Source organism: Homo sapiens, chromosome 10, assembly GCF_000001405.40.
Source record: "Homo sapiens chromosome 10, GRCh38.p14 Primary Assembly".
NCBI classification, from domain to species: Eukaryota; Metazoa; Chordata; class Mammalia; order Primates; family Hominidae; genus Homo; species Homo sapiens.
Genome location: NC_000010.11, coordinates 43,056,193 through 43,069,513, shown reverse-complemented (window position 1 = coordinate 43,069,513; position 13,321 = coordinate 43,056,193). Strand labels below are relative to the sequence as shown.

At 56.5% G+C, this 13,321-nt stretch overlaps 3 annotated features.

Annotated features, from left to right (window-relative positions):
* Positions 6,342–6,841: an enhancer, noted in NCBI's record as "H3K4me1 hESC enhancer chr10:43558121-43558620 (GRCh37/hg19 assembly coordinates)". NCBI's record gives its function as "activates a minimal SCP1, AML or CMV promoter by ChIP-STARR-seq in naive H9 embryonic stem cells {active_cell/tissue: H9 hESC(naive)}" and the evidence as "EXISTENCE:reporter gene assay evidence [ECO:0000049][PMID:30033119]".
* Positions 6,842–7,343: an enhancer, noted in NCBI's record as "H3K4me1 hESC enhancer chr10:43557619-43558120 (GRCh37/hg19 assembly coordinates)". NCBI's record gives its function as "activates a minimal SCP1, AML or CMV promoter by ChIP-STARR-seq in naive H9 embryonic stem cells {active_cell/tissue: H9 hESC(naive)}" and the evidence as "EXISTENCE:reporter gene assay evidence [ECO:0000049][PMID:30033119]".
* Positions 11,073–13,072: an enhancer, noted in NCBI's record as "VISTA enhancer hs2498". NCBI's record gives its function as "enhancer in: dorsal root ganglion[6/5] | other[5/5]" and the evidence as "EXISTENCE:transgenic organism evidence [ECO:0001131][PMID:17130149]".

Genomic DNA, 13,321 nt, shown 5'->3' with positions numbered 1-13,321 from the left:
TGCCTGGGAGGATCTTCCTGGCTCCTCCCAGCCCCTCTGTTGTCCAACTCCTACTCATCACTCAGAAGTCACCTCTTCCCACCCTGCTTAGATGCTTGGCACTGGCGCTGCATGGAGCCTAGCGCCCTAGCTGTGCTGCATTTCCCTGTGGCCTGAGGAAGGCCTTGCAATGTCTGTGGCCCCAGACTCCCTGCATCACTCTTCATTGTTGTCTGTTCCTGGTCTGTCTCATGTTCCCCGTCTGCCTGCGTGGGTTCAGGTGCGTTGACTGCTGAACTCCCAGCATCTAGGGCAGCTGGGGACCTGGTGAGGATTCCTAGCTGCTGTTCAAATGTCTGCCAGGAGAATGCCCTCTGGGCAGGGAGGACAGCCAGGAGTGTGCTCAGCCAGCAGGTGGGGAGTGCAGGGGTCTGCTGGGAGCATCTGTCCGCTGCCCCACTCTCTGCAGCCCCTTGATGCACGCTCACCTGCTCCTCCAAGCCCCTTCTTCCTGGCCGGCCTGGCTCTGAGCGGATGGAAGCCATCTATAAACATCAGGGGAAGGAGCGACGCAACCAGGGGCTTGAGCTGAAAACAACTCGCAGGGAGAGAACAAGGCGCCCAAATAAATCACCCGGGGCCCGACATTTGGAGCGTTTGCGTTGGAGACCAAACACAGATGCCCTTTAGATAAATACATTTTTGAGAAGCGTTCTGCAGGAGAACTTTATGACTTTAATAGATTTTTGGTGTCAGACAAGCATCAGGAAGTGTTTTGTGGAGAGAGTTTCTCTAAAAAGCACAGAAACATTCTTCTCCCTCTGGCCCTTTAAGCATAAGGGTACGATAATCCCAGCAAGGGGAGGGGCTTCCTTTTCCAGGTTCCCTTGGGATTTGCCCAGGGCTGGGAGTGCTCAGCTGAGAATGTTCTGGAAGGTTTGGAAGACCTCAGTGCTCCAGGCCAGCAGGGGGTGGGGGATCAGGGGTGGGGGTCTCTCTGGAACCTGATTTAGAAGCTTAGAAGCATCTTACTTACCCAGAGCAACTCCCCTTCCCTCCTAGCTGTGCCCCGCCCTGACCCCCAGAGGAGCCTGGGCCTGCGGTCCTAGGGGATAAGAAGGGCTCTGCATGGAGGACATTGGTCCTGCTGAGGCTTCCAGAGGTTGGCAATTTTCTGTAGATTGGATACTTTACAAAGTTCCCCAGGATGAAACCCAGGAGTGCGGAGCTGAGCTCACAGTGGGCCCTGAGCCAGAGAGAGGAGACGCTAGGAGAAGGTCAGATGCAATCATGTCTGGAAGCTTCTCCTTCCGGCTTAGAGATGGGCCCCCACCCTCCTGCCCACCCATCCGTCCTGGGCCCTGCCCAGGGTCCTGCAGCCGCCCTTTGCCCAGTTTAGGCCTGGATACCAAGCAGCCGCTGGTGGGGCTGGCTCCATCCTGCCTGAGTTGCTCTAGTCTCAGCCCAAGATGGGGCTGAGCTGTGAAGGTGTGGGTGCCCTCCTGGAATTGCAGCCCCAGTTGCAACTCATCTTCGAGTGAGGCTGGCATCTAAGCACTACACACCAGATCGTCCGTGCTGTGGCTTGGGGCCAGTTTGGGTGGGTGGTTCTAGGGCCAGGCTGAGCTGATTGCTCGCTTGTTTTCCAGGCCCGGCGGGACGGGTGTCTGCACTGTTTTCCAGGACCCCTCCTGAGGGCTGCAAAAAGCTTCCAGGCCTCCATGTTGATGGCAGAGCAGGCAAGGCAGCTCACCCTTCACCCTGCTGACTTCTGTGCACATTTGGGGCCACGTTTTCAACAGCTCCGGCACTGGAGCCAAGATAAAGTCAGCCTAAGGTTTCCACCTCTGTGGGTATCCTGCCTCCCTGGGCCTGGCCCTCAGGGCCTGCCTCAAACCCTCACCCACCCAGCCCTGCACTCATGGGGACCTAGGCACCCTCCTGGGTGGGAGGTGGTGCGCACGGGGTTGGGACGGGGTCAGGACAGGGTTGTGTGTGAACAGCCGCCCTGGTGGATTCATCCCAGGCTGTAAATGAGGGGTAGGTGTAGAAAGGCCCACACTGGGAAGGGAAATGTTTCCCCCCTCCTTCTTCTCCTAGGGGCCTGAACTCACCTCCTCAGCCCCTGAGACTCACCCAGAACCTCATCAGGAGACCAGCTAACAGAACGATGAGAACAGTTGGAGGATCTTCTAAAGCCTTTCTCTTGCCTCATAGTTTATTTCCTTGCAGAATCCAGCCCCTCAGATGCAGCTGATGTCTTAGCCACCACACACAGCAACCTTTTTTGTCTTCACAGTTGTCTCTGAAGCAGCTTCCAACTAAATAAAAGCAGCTTTGTAAAGGACACATCATTGAGGCTCTCGTGACCTGTGCCAGGTGGGAGGAAGTGACCTCTGCTCTATTTCCCAGCCCTGATACCCAGCCTGGCATCAGGCGGGGGGGGCTGTTGCCTGGTTACCCATTTGCATTTGTAATTTATCAGCGTTCTCCAAATCATAAAGGTTTGGGTTTTAGTTATGCATGTCTGGCCCCTGGAAGAAAGGCTGAATGAGATCCCTCAGGGAGGTAAAGCTTTGGTCCCTGAATCATCTCTTCTGGACAAAGAGGCAGCCCTCTTTTTTGGGGGGTGAGAACAGCTGGTGGAGATCCTCCCTACCATGTGGGCAAGTAGGCAGCCCAGGACTGGCCCCTCCAATTCACTCAGCTCACAGCATCCCCAGGTGGCAGCAACATCCCTATCTTACAGGTGAGCTAACTGAGGCTCCAGCTCAGGTGTTTCTTCTCTGGGGCCCTTGAGCCACCCTGCTCATGGTTCCCAAGCGCCAGTGGAGGCTGGTCACCAGGCCCCAGGGTGGGATGTGGGGTGTGGGCCGGGGTGTACACTTGCCATGAGCTCCCAGTGGCTGGGTTGCTGCTGGCTCCACATTTGGGCCTACACTTGGGATCCACTCCTCTCAACCCTGTAGGATGGGAGAGGGACAGGTGAGGGTCTCAGAGTGGAGGCACTCCCCCACCTACTGGCAGCATGTCCAGCTTGGCCAGGCATCCCCGGAGCTGCCGAGCCCCCCTTCCATCCTCCTCCCCATGTTCCTCTCTGTTCCCAGCCTCAGTGCCCTGGACTTATGCCCCTGGCCCTGGCCTTACTGGTCAGCGGGGAAGGACGCTCCTAGAACACACCACACCACACTCTGCAGAGACTTGGGTTTGCAGACAGCTCTCGGCCTTCTGACACCCGTTTTTTCAGCTGGACTCCTCATGCAAGGCCCGGAGCCCTTGGAAGCCACCCATCCAGTGCCTCTGCCACCCCATCAAAAAGGGTGGTCATTTCTGTGATCTAGGCCTGGATCCCACCCAAGATAATCCATGACCCTGTACAGTACTGAGTGTCAGGGAATCTATAGCAAGTGCATTGCCTTCACCTGCAAAATGGCTGCAGTGACAGTCCCACCTCACTCCGAGTCGGGGCACGGATTCTGTGAGATGTGGGAGGGGAGGCCCCAGCACAGAGCAAGGGCTGAGGAGCTGGGGGTGGTCACTTGCTGAAGGCTCACTCAGAGCCTGTGTGAGGCCAAAGCTGGGCCTGGGAGGCTGGGAGGAGAGGGAGGATGAGGGACGGCTAGGGGGCCCTGCCCCTTTAGTTGAGGCTCCCAGGCAGCTGCAGACCCCACTCCCAGGTGACGGCAGCACTGGCAGTGACACCAGCTGGCCTGCGCATTATTTCCAGACTGAGTCTTTGGAGCAAAGGAATTTTCCTTCTTTAATGAAAACCTTGCAGCCAGGGAAGCCCCCCACTAAATGACTGATACTCAACACATATGCACTTCTCAGAAATGTCTCCTAGTCAATGAAGAAGAGATAATAGTCAGTGGAATAAAAATTAATCTGGCCACTATAGGAATTAATATAAAAACATCAGATGCAGGACTTATAAGGGATGCCACCTCCACCTAACCCTTCCTAGGTTAAATACCCCAGGGATGCTGATTTACATTCTGTGCTGCAGGTCTCTGCCACCATAATCAATAGTAATGAGAAATGGGGCCAGCTGGGCCTGCCCGGCTAGGTGGGGTGGAGGGGAGTGTTCAGGGGGTGGGGAGGCTGCTGGGAGCAGGGGCCCATCTGGGCTATCCCATCCCCTCCCTCTTCCACCCTGGTGAGCTCTAGGCCTGCAGCAGAAGGATTTCCAGAGGCCTGGCCCAGGGCCCCTCTCATCAAGCTTCTCCAGGGAAGGAGAGGGCAGGTAAGGGTGGGGCAGGGTGGGGCTGGCTGGTCAGAAGCTGTCTGAGGCCCATGCAGTGGGGCCCCCTCCCGGGGCCTGGGCTTGGAGATGCTCATGGCATTGATAGTCCGGGATCAAGGCCTCTGAGGGCTGCCCACCTACTGAAGGTGCTAGGGAAGAGTGTGTTCCAGCCTCTCTTTGCTTGTAGACAGCTGTCCCCTCCCCATGTCTCTCCTCATGGTCTCCCCTTTGTGTGATCCACCACCACTGTGGCTCTGTGAGAATGATGGGCCCGCACTCCCCACTTCGGGGAAGCTCGCCTGAGCCACTGTTCACTCTGCCATCCCCAGTCTAGGTGCTGCTGATGCCCTCAAGGAGTTGTAAGTCTAAGCCCTTGCTGGCCATGCCTGAGCTGCCTCTCTGCTTTCCCCTGCTGGGAGCATCAAGCCTCCCCGCGGCTGCAGGGCTGTAAGAGCAGCAAGTTTCCTGCCCTCCTCTTTAGGAGCTGTGCTTGCTCAGCTCTGCCCCATCCTGTGCATACACCACATGGGGCAGAAGGGGGATGGCGGAGGGGTGGGGGCGGTTGAACTGTGCCACCCGTCCCTCCACCTGGAGGCCCTGGGGGAGACCAGCAAGGGGAGGACAGTGTGTTTATCCCCTGCCCCCTCCTGGCAAGGCCCCGGTGACCCCCACCCCCACACCCAAGTCCCTCTTTCTCAGCCAGGTTTGGAGGTCCAGTACCATCCCCTGAGCTCCTGCTGGGTCAGCCTCTCTCCAGGCCTGGGGGTTCCCCATACTGCCCACACCTCTGCCCCTACAGGAAACCCCAGTCCCTGCCCCCTTCGTGTGCCCTCTGCTTCTGCTGGACCCTGGTCTTACAGCTCCCAGCAAAATCCCCGCAGGGCTAGCTGGTGTTGGGGGGCTCAGTCCTTTGTCCCTGATGATGGGAGAACCAGCCCTTCCCAGTGCTTCTTTGCTGCTGCCTCCTTTGTGTGCCCTGCTCTGAGCAGCCTGGGCAACTCCCATACCCACTGCCCACCCTGGGCTGACTCAGGACAGGCCCCACTTCCCATGCTGGAGTGCTAAGCCCCAGGACCTTAAAATGCGACTGTATTTGGAGCTAAGGTTATTAAAGAGGTAATCAAGGTCAGATGAGGTCGTTAGGGTGGGCCCTGATCCAGTATGACTGGTATCCTTATAAAAGGGAAATTTGGACACCAATAGACACACAGAGGGGAGACCATGAGGAGAGACGTGGGGAGACACAGCTGTCTATGAGTAAGGAGAGGCTGGAATAGACCCTTCCCTAGCACCCTAAGGGGGCGGGTGGCCCTTGGAGGCCTTGATCCCAGACTTCCAGCCCTGGAACTGGGGGGCAGTAAACTTAACCACCTAGTCTATGGCCCTTCCTTACAGCAGCCCCAGCAACTCATGTACATTGCAAAGGAATTCACTTTAGGGAATGCAGAGCACCATTTGTTTTTTGTTTGTTTGTTTGGTTTGTTTGTTTTTCAGGGATGTTGGTGTCTTAGATAGGTTTTTTTGTTGTTTAGTTTGTTTTGTTATGGCTTCATGAATCAGAATTTATTTACTAACGAATAGAGGTTGAGAGGAAGCTGCTGACTGGTGGGAAGGTGGCCTGGTGCTGTCTTGGTGGTGGCCTTGGTAGAGGCTGGTCCAGTGGTTGCTGGGATAGAGGGGCATGGGCTGTGACCTAGGTGGGGAGCTGCAGCCCTCATCTCCAACTGAGGACCCCAAGGACCACGGCGTGGTGGGAGCTGCACTCTGCCTTCCCCCTGTTGCTGTCCTGGTGATGTTTTCTGTGCCCATGGATGGCAGGGTGGTTGATCAGGAAGCCTGTGGAGGCCCAGGGGGCAACACCCTCCAGCCAGAGACTGGGGCATGGGCTTGTCCTCCCACATGGTCACAGGTCAATACTGCCTTAATAAAAAGGGCATACATATTTTAATAAAACCAAAGACAACTCATCTAATGAAACCCATTGCAGAGGATCCTTAATGCCTGGGGACCCACGCTGCTTGGGGCCAGGCTCTGCTCTCGCATCGTCCTGTTATTGCTGCTTTTAGAGTGGAGATCTAGAAAGGGCCATTTCTCTACAGGACAGTGCACAGCTTGCCACAGATCTGCAGGAGGGATTCAGAGACCTCACAGCCTTTGGAAAAATGAGCAAATATCTAATTCTGAAGACTAATACTTTTTAGTACTATGAAAACTTTATCTCCCATTAAATAGATAACCCCAGACAGGGCTTCCAGCCTGTAGCGCTTTCCCTGTCACAGACCCTGGTGGCCACGGATCCATGACTCCTGCAGCCGTGAATGTGGCTCTGAGTCCTGCCCCCAGGCCCAAGGAGCTGTTCTCGACCCATCGGAGCCCGCCCAGTATGCAGAACCATCACTGCAGATGGGCTCTGGCCCTCTGCCTGCCTGGGATCTGCACCAGGGATCTGCAGACACAGAAGTCCCAGGGAAGGCCGGGGAATCACCTAGGGTGTGTTCTCCCTGTCTAGCGCTGAATGAGAAGCCACCCCCAAGCTGAGTGTCCTAAAGCAACACCATCATTTGCCTTGCTCCTGAGTCTGCAATCCGGGCAGCGCTCCGTGCAGTAGCTTGTCTCTGCTCAGCTCTGTCTCATTTAGGGCAGGCGGCTTGCGGGCTGGGGCTGGCAACACTGAGCTCCCCTCATGCAACTGGTGGCTGGTGGCTGTTGTTGACTGTCGGTTGACTAACAGCTCCCTTGCTGGAGCTGTGGGCCGGGACCGCTGGGCTTCCTTACAATGTGGTGGCCAGAGTCACGTTACTGTCTGTGACCCATCATCGGAAGTCACCTAAAACCCTCTCTCCTCTTCATCTCAGCAGTTGTGAAGGCACCCCTGGTTTCAAGGAGAGGAGAAATAGACTCTGCCTCTCAATGAGTGGTGGCCAGATCCTGGAGGAACACAGAAATATTGCTGTGGCTGTTTCTGGACAATGAGATCTGCAACCTGCTGTGCTGTGGGCTAGAGGTCAGACCCACCAGGGAGTCTGGGCCCAGGGATCAGGTTCCAAAGATGGTTCACCACCAGGAGTTAGGGACAAAGTCCAGAATGCCTCTTCACTACATGGATGTGATCATGTGGCACTGCCCCACAGGGACGTCAGTGTCCACTCTGGCCCTGGGGCCTCATTAGCACAGCGAGACTAGACCCAGACACATCTCAGGGGCCTCGGCTTCCACTGCCTGCAATGCCAGGATACGCTGATCTGTGAATCCTTGGAATCTCCTTCGGGAAATGACCCACTCAAAGGGAGGATTTGTCATCCTGGTGCATTGTATACATCTCATCCAACTTCCAGACAAGCCGTAATTCTGTGAGTAATGGCTTGGCGGTGTGAGGTGATGTCATCAGGGCAGACGCTTTGGTGGAGAGGGATGTGTGGCCTGGACACAGCCACCTCCCTCATGGAGCCCCCAGAGCTCACCTACCTCAGAGGAAAGTCAGGGCGGTCAGCCCCTTTCAGCCAGGATGTTCAGCTGGGAGCTGGAGGCAAGGGCATCCATTGAGTTTGGACTTCTATGCCTGTGACACCTGTGCAAGTGATGGACTCCCCGAGCCAGGGTCCCCTGTGCCCCCACGAGGAGGAGCCTGAGGGTGAAGGATGGCTGCTCAGCACACAGGGTGTGATGGAGAATTGCAGGCGCTGGGCCCTGGCCTTGTCCTCCCACTGCCTATTGTGGGCCACCCGAGGCCTCCACACTCCCCGTCACATGACAGCGCCCACCTTGCAGCAATGTACATGAAGGGCCCAGGGCCCCCTTTCCTCCTGTGAGGCCCAGCATGCTGCCAGACACATGCGAGGTCCTTGGTCAGCACCTCGGGGTCACAGGACCTGAGGCCTCTCTCTGGATTCTGACCATTCTCAGAATGGGGTCTGACCTGTGGCCAGGGCTCAGGAGCACCTGGTACCTGGAGCTGTCTGCACTGGGGCAGAGTAGGCCATCCGTGTCCAAGTGCTGGGCTGGGTTGCCAAGTGGACCCCAGTGAGGACGGAGATGGGGGGCTACTTTCCTGTGTCTGGGTGGAGGTCTACTCCAAATGCCCATGTCCTGTATCCGAGCCAGTAGATTTGAGTCTTGGAAGGGACTTCGGCAATCTCAAAGGTCTATGAAAGAAAAAGGCCAGGCATGGTGGCTCACTCCGGTAATCCCAGCACTCTGGGAGGCCGAGGCAGGTGGATCACCTGAGGTTGAGTTCCAGACCAGCCTGGCCAACAAGGTGAAACCCTGTCTCTACTAAAAATACAAAAATTAGCTGGGTGTGGTGGCACACACCTGTAATCCTAGCTACTCAGGAGGCTGAGGCAGGAGAATTGCTTGAACCTGGGAGGTGGAGGTTCCACTGAGCCAAGATCATGCCACTACACTCTAGCCTGGGTGACAGAGCGAGGCTCCAACTCAAAAAAAAAAAAAAAAAAAAGAAGGGAAAGACCAGATGATGGTTCATTCCACATAACATTTCCAGAAGCTGTGTGCGGAGCGTCTCAGAACGTGGAGGTCCTGGGCCCCTCAGAATATCTGTCTCCCCGACCTGCCCCACTCTGCTTCTCTAGGTCGGCCTCCCCACCCTGGGTCATGCAGCCTCCTCCCGGCCCCTGCCCTTGCCCTCACCCCTGCTGATCTGCTCCAGAGTGACACTGGCAGGCAGCAACGCCCTATCACACCAGGTGCATGGGGGCTGGTGTCTTATCAGCACCAGTTAGCCTGACCCTTGTCTGCAGCTGGCAACGAGTGGCCCAGGCTGCTCTGATAGGTGGGTGCCTGTGTTGTAACACAGATCAGTATGGAATGCCAGTGTGGCTGCCAGGTGCCACAGGATCCTCCTCACCCTGGCTCACCCCCACCTGCCCTGCCTGGCCATTCCTCCTGCCTGGGAGGGGCCGGCCCCAGCTTGCTGCAGCCTCTCCCTCACTGTGCCCTGGCATCTGCGCAGCCACCCGGATTGCTGTGTGAAACATGTTCCCAATCTCCCTGTCCTGCTCTGCCTTCCTTACACCCCTGTGATAGCTGCATTTGTCTGTGTGTTTGCATTCTTATTTGCATGTTGGCATTAACCCTGACATAAAGTTCCTGAAGGCAGCGATGCGGTTCCCTGCCTCCAGTGCTCGGAAGGTGCAGGCCCTATAGCTGTCTGCTGGTTACATAAAGAGGTAGATGGTGATGCACCCAGATGCGGCTCTGCCTGGGACTCCAGTGGCTGTGCAGTGTTCCACCGTGGGGCTGTGCTGTAATAATTCATCCACTCCTACTCGAGGACATCTAGCTTTTCTATTTGTTTGCTCCTATAGACAAAGCTGCACTGCACATCTCTGCATTCATGTGTGACTATAGAAAAAAATCAGTAATTCCAGGATCTGGACATACTGGTCAAGGAGTGTGTACCAAACGACTTCCCCAAAAGTATGTCTAACAATTTATGATTTTTTAAAGAGACAGGGTCTGTGTCACCTAAGCTGGAGCACAGTGGTGCAATCACAGCTCACTGTAGCCTCGAATTCCTGGACTCGAGATCCTCTCACCTGAGCCTCCCAGAGTGCTGGGACCATAAGCCTGAGCCACTATGCCTGGCCCAATTTATGACTTTTAGCAATATTTGAAAACATATGTAAAAGAATGAACCTAGCCCCACCCCCTTATGGGACCCCTGAGACCTCGAGGCCAGGCTCTGCGATGTGTCTCTCCTCTCAGATGTGGGGACAAGTCTGGGGAGGGTGTGATTTCCAGGCCGCTGGGCCGAGATAACCAGTATGGCCCCAGCTTCAGGGGCTCACACCCAGGCTTCCTCACTCCTGCAGAAACCAGCCTTCAGTGGGTCCTAGGATCAGGCTGTAACATAGGAAAATGCCAGCGAAGTCTCTGGGGAGGATGGCCATTTCTCCTCCTGTGCTGTGAGGGGCTTTCTGAAGTTCACGAGTGTTTATTCAGCACCTGCTGTGAGCTGTGCTGATGCTGTGACAGGGCAGGTGGTGGGGATGAAGCTTGGGACGACAGGGAGTGCCCTGCCCTCAAGAGCCTGCATTCTCCTTGAAGGAGACAGACAAAGAGCTGGGCACTGGAGCCGCCTACGTGGGGAGTGAGAAGCTCGCAGTGGGGAGGAGAGCTTCACGCCCACTGCTGGGGCCATACTCTTGAGCTGCCCTTCCCCAGAGGCTGCTTGGGCCAGGACTTACTTCTAATGGATGGAAAAGGCAGAAGGGATGGCTGCCACCCCCAAGGCCCCCGTCTGACAGAGGCCTGTGGGTTGTCTCACTGGTGCCTGCTCCCTCTCTTGCCTTGCTTGCTTCGATGTCCTCAGCAGCGCTCTGGGGGACCGTGTGCCAGGGACTTGGGGCAGCCCTTGCTACAATTTGAGAGGGAGCCCATTCCTGCCTTGTAAGGGAGCCTGAGGTGGACCCGGCCCTGAGATGACCCGATCCAGTGGACCCTGAGTGCAGCCTATGGGAGACCCTGGGCTGGGGGTGGGGGACGTGGCAGTGAGCCATGCCCAGGCTCCTGACCCGCAGAAGCTAAGACTGTAATGTTCTCAGAAGCCCCTAAGGTTTGGGCTGATTTGTTCCTCAGCACTGGCTAACCAACACCAGGGTGGGTGCGGTTTAAGATGGGATAGCAGGGCAGGAGTTATTTGAGAAATGAGTTGTAGAAGGAAGAGAGGGAATCATGGGACCTGGGGGCGGAATTGGATTTGGGGACATGTGTTTGAGGGTGCTCAGGAGACCAGGGCACTGGAGTACAGTGAGGGGGTGAGAGGAGGTGGGGACCAGGGCAGAGAGGAGAAGGGGCTGTGCTGGCATCTGGGCTTCAGCTTACCTTAGGGAAAGGGCGCCTTTAAGACCTCCAGCAGCTGCCATGTTCCCAGGTCCAGGTGGCTGTTGAGTGGTTTGGGTGGGGAGTGGGGTGGCAGTAGAGATGACCAGAGGTGTGAGGTTTATTTCCAAGGTAGACCACAGGTTGGGCGGTGGGGGTGTGAGGGAAGAGGGCTGTTTTTGTACCTGAGAAGGTGATGGTGAGCAGGTTTTGGGTAGACCTGGAGGCTGGGGTTCACGGGTACAGCCCGGAAGGTGTATCCATCCTTGAGGTGGAGGGTGCAGAGGTGGGGCCTGGTGTCACGCGGAGTCTGTAGAGTGTGAATAGAGACGAGCACTGGGTCCCCCCACGGGAAGATGGGGGGAGGTGTGGGGGATGGAGAAGGAGGGAGGGGCCTGGCAGAGGGGTCCTGGAACTCGGGAGGATGGTGTTTCAAGAGGAGGGCTGAGCCACTGAGTCACCACTGTTGCCAAGCTCTGCCTCAGTTTAGCGAGGTGAGGTTAGTGGTCAGGTGTCACAAAGTCTCTGTGGAGGGCTTCAGTGGGGCAACCCCAGATGGGGCCACATCTCTGGAGCAGTTTTACCATCAAGAGGAGCAAACAAACAAGCAAAGCAGTCAAACACACTGTCTTAAGGACAGGGAAGTAACAGTATTTTTGGATACAGACGGGGAGGATCTGGCTAGAGAGGAAACCCGCATGAGGCAGGAGCAAGGGATGGTGGCTTGGATAGTCCCCAGGGAGGCAGGAGCAAGGGATGGCGGCTGGGACAGTCCCCAGGGAGGCAGAGGGAAATGACTGGGCTGGTGCTGGTTGGAAAATCAGAGCGTCTGGTCTTCAGGAAGTTCTAGAGGATGCAGGTGCCCCTGCAGCCTGCAATGGTCCCCTGCACACCCCGCTGCGACCTGGGGGCAGCATACGGGAGCCAGAGCTGAGCTGGGAGACTGCGCTTGGAATTTCCTGACCTGGGTGAGGTTCAGCTCCTAATCTCATATTGCATCTATCACATTATTTCATGTGGTCTGTGAGAAGCTGAAAGAGTGTGGGCTGAGAGGATTTGCAGAGGGGAGGAGAAGCCAACCCAGGACACTCTTCACTGACCCTCTGAGGTCTGGGTCGGGACCAACAATTTTGGTCACTGCCAGGGGTGCAGCCAGGTGGCAAGAGCTCTGGGCTGCAAGACCAGGCTCAGATCCAGGCAAGGGACAGCTTTTCTGAGCCTCAGTTTCCTCATCTGGAAAGTGGAGCAAGTGAGAGCCCAGCATCACAGGCTGCATGAGGCCACCATGGGCAGTGACTTCATCCAGATGAGGAGCAAGATGGGTGTGCACAGAGGGGCAACCAGGACCCACAATCACAGGTTGTACACAGAGATGGCAACCAGGACCCACAATCACAGGTTGTACACAGAGATGGCAACCAGGACCCACAGCCACTGGGTGTGCTCAGAGTGGGGCAACCAGGACCCACAGCCACTGGGTGTGCACAGAGTGGGGCAACCAGGACCCATGACCACTGAGTGTGCACAGAATGGGGCAACCAGGACACGTGACCACTGAGTGTGCACAGAGTGGGGCAACCAGGACCCATGGCCATCAGGTGTGCACGGAGTGGGGAACCAGGACCCACAGTCACCAGGTGTGCACAGAGGGGCAATGAGGACCCACATCAGGGGGTGTGCACGGAGAGGGCAACCAGGACCCACAGCTACCGGGTGTGCACAGAGGGGGTGACTAGAACCCACACCCACTGGGCTTGCACAGAGGGGGCAGCCAGGACTCACAACCACAGAGTGTGCACAGAGGGGCAACCAGGACCCACAGCCACCAGTTGTGCACAGAGGGGGCAGCCAGGAAGCATCCTACCCACCCTCTCGATTTCACCAGGAGGAACTGGGGCCCAGAGAAGGCAGTAAGTGGCTGTGGGCACCAGGCCCACTCTCTTCTCCACTGACCATGTCAGACCAGGCTGTTTCTGGGAAGCAGCAAGGGGTTTTCAGCCAGGACTTGGTATCCAGCCAGGAGTCTGGGTTTCAGCCAGGAGTTGGTATTTGTTAAAAGAGATGAAAAAGGTGAAGCTGTTATCAAGGGAAAGTATCTGGGATCTGAGTTCACTGCAGGGTCTCAGGAACTAGATACCATCAGCCAGGCCTGCATTGCGGATGTGAAGGGAAGCTGGGAGCTGTGTCTGTCACACATGGGAGCTCCCAAGCCCCCACCCCACTGCACTGCCCAGTGCTCCTGAGAGCCTGGAAGATGGA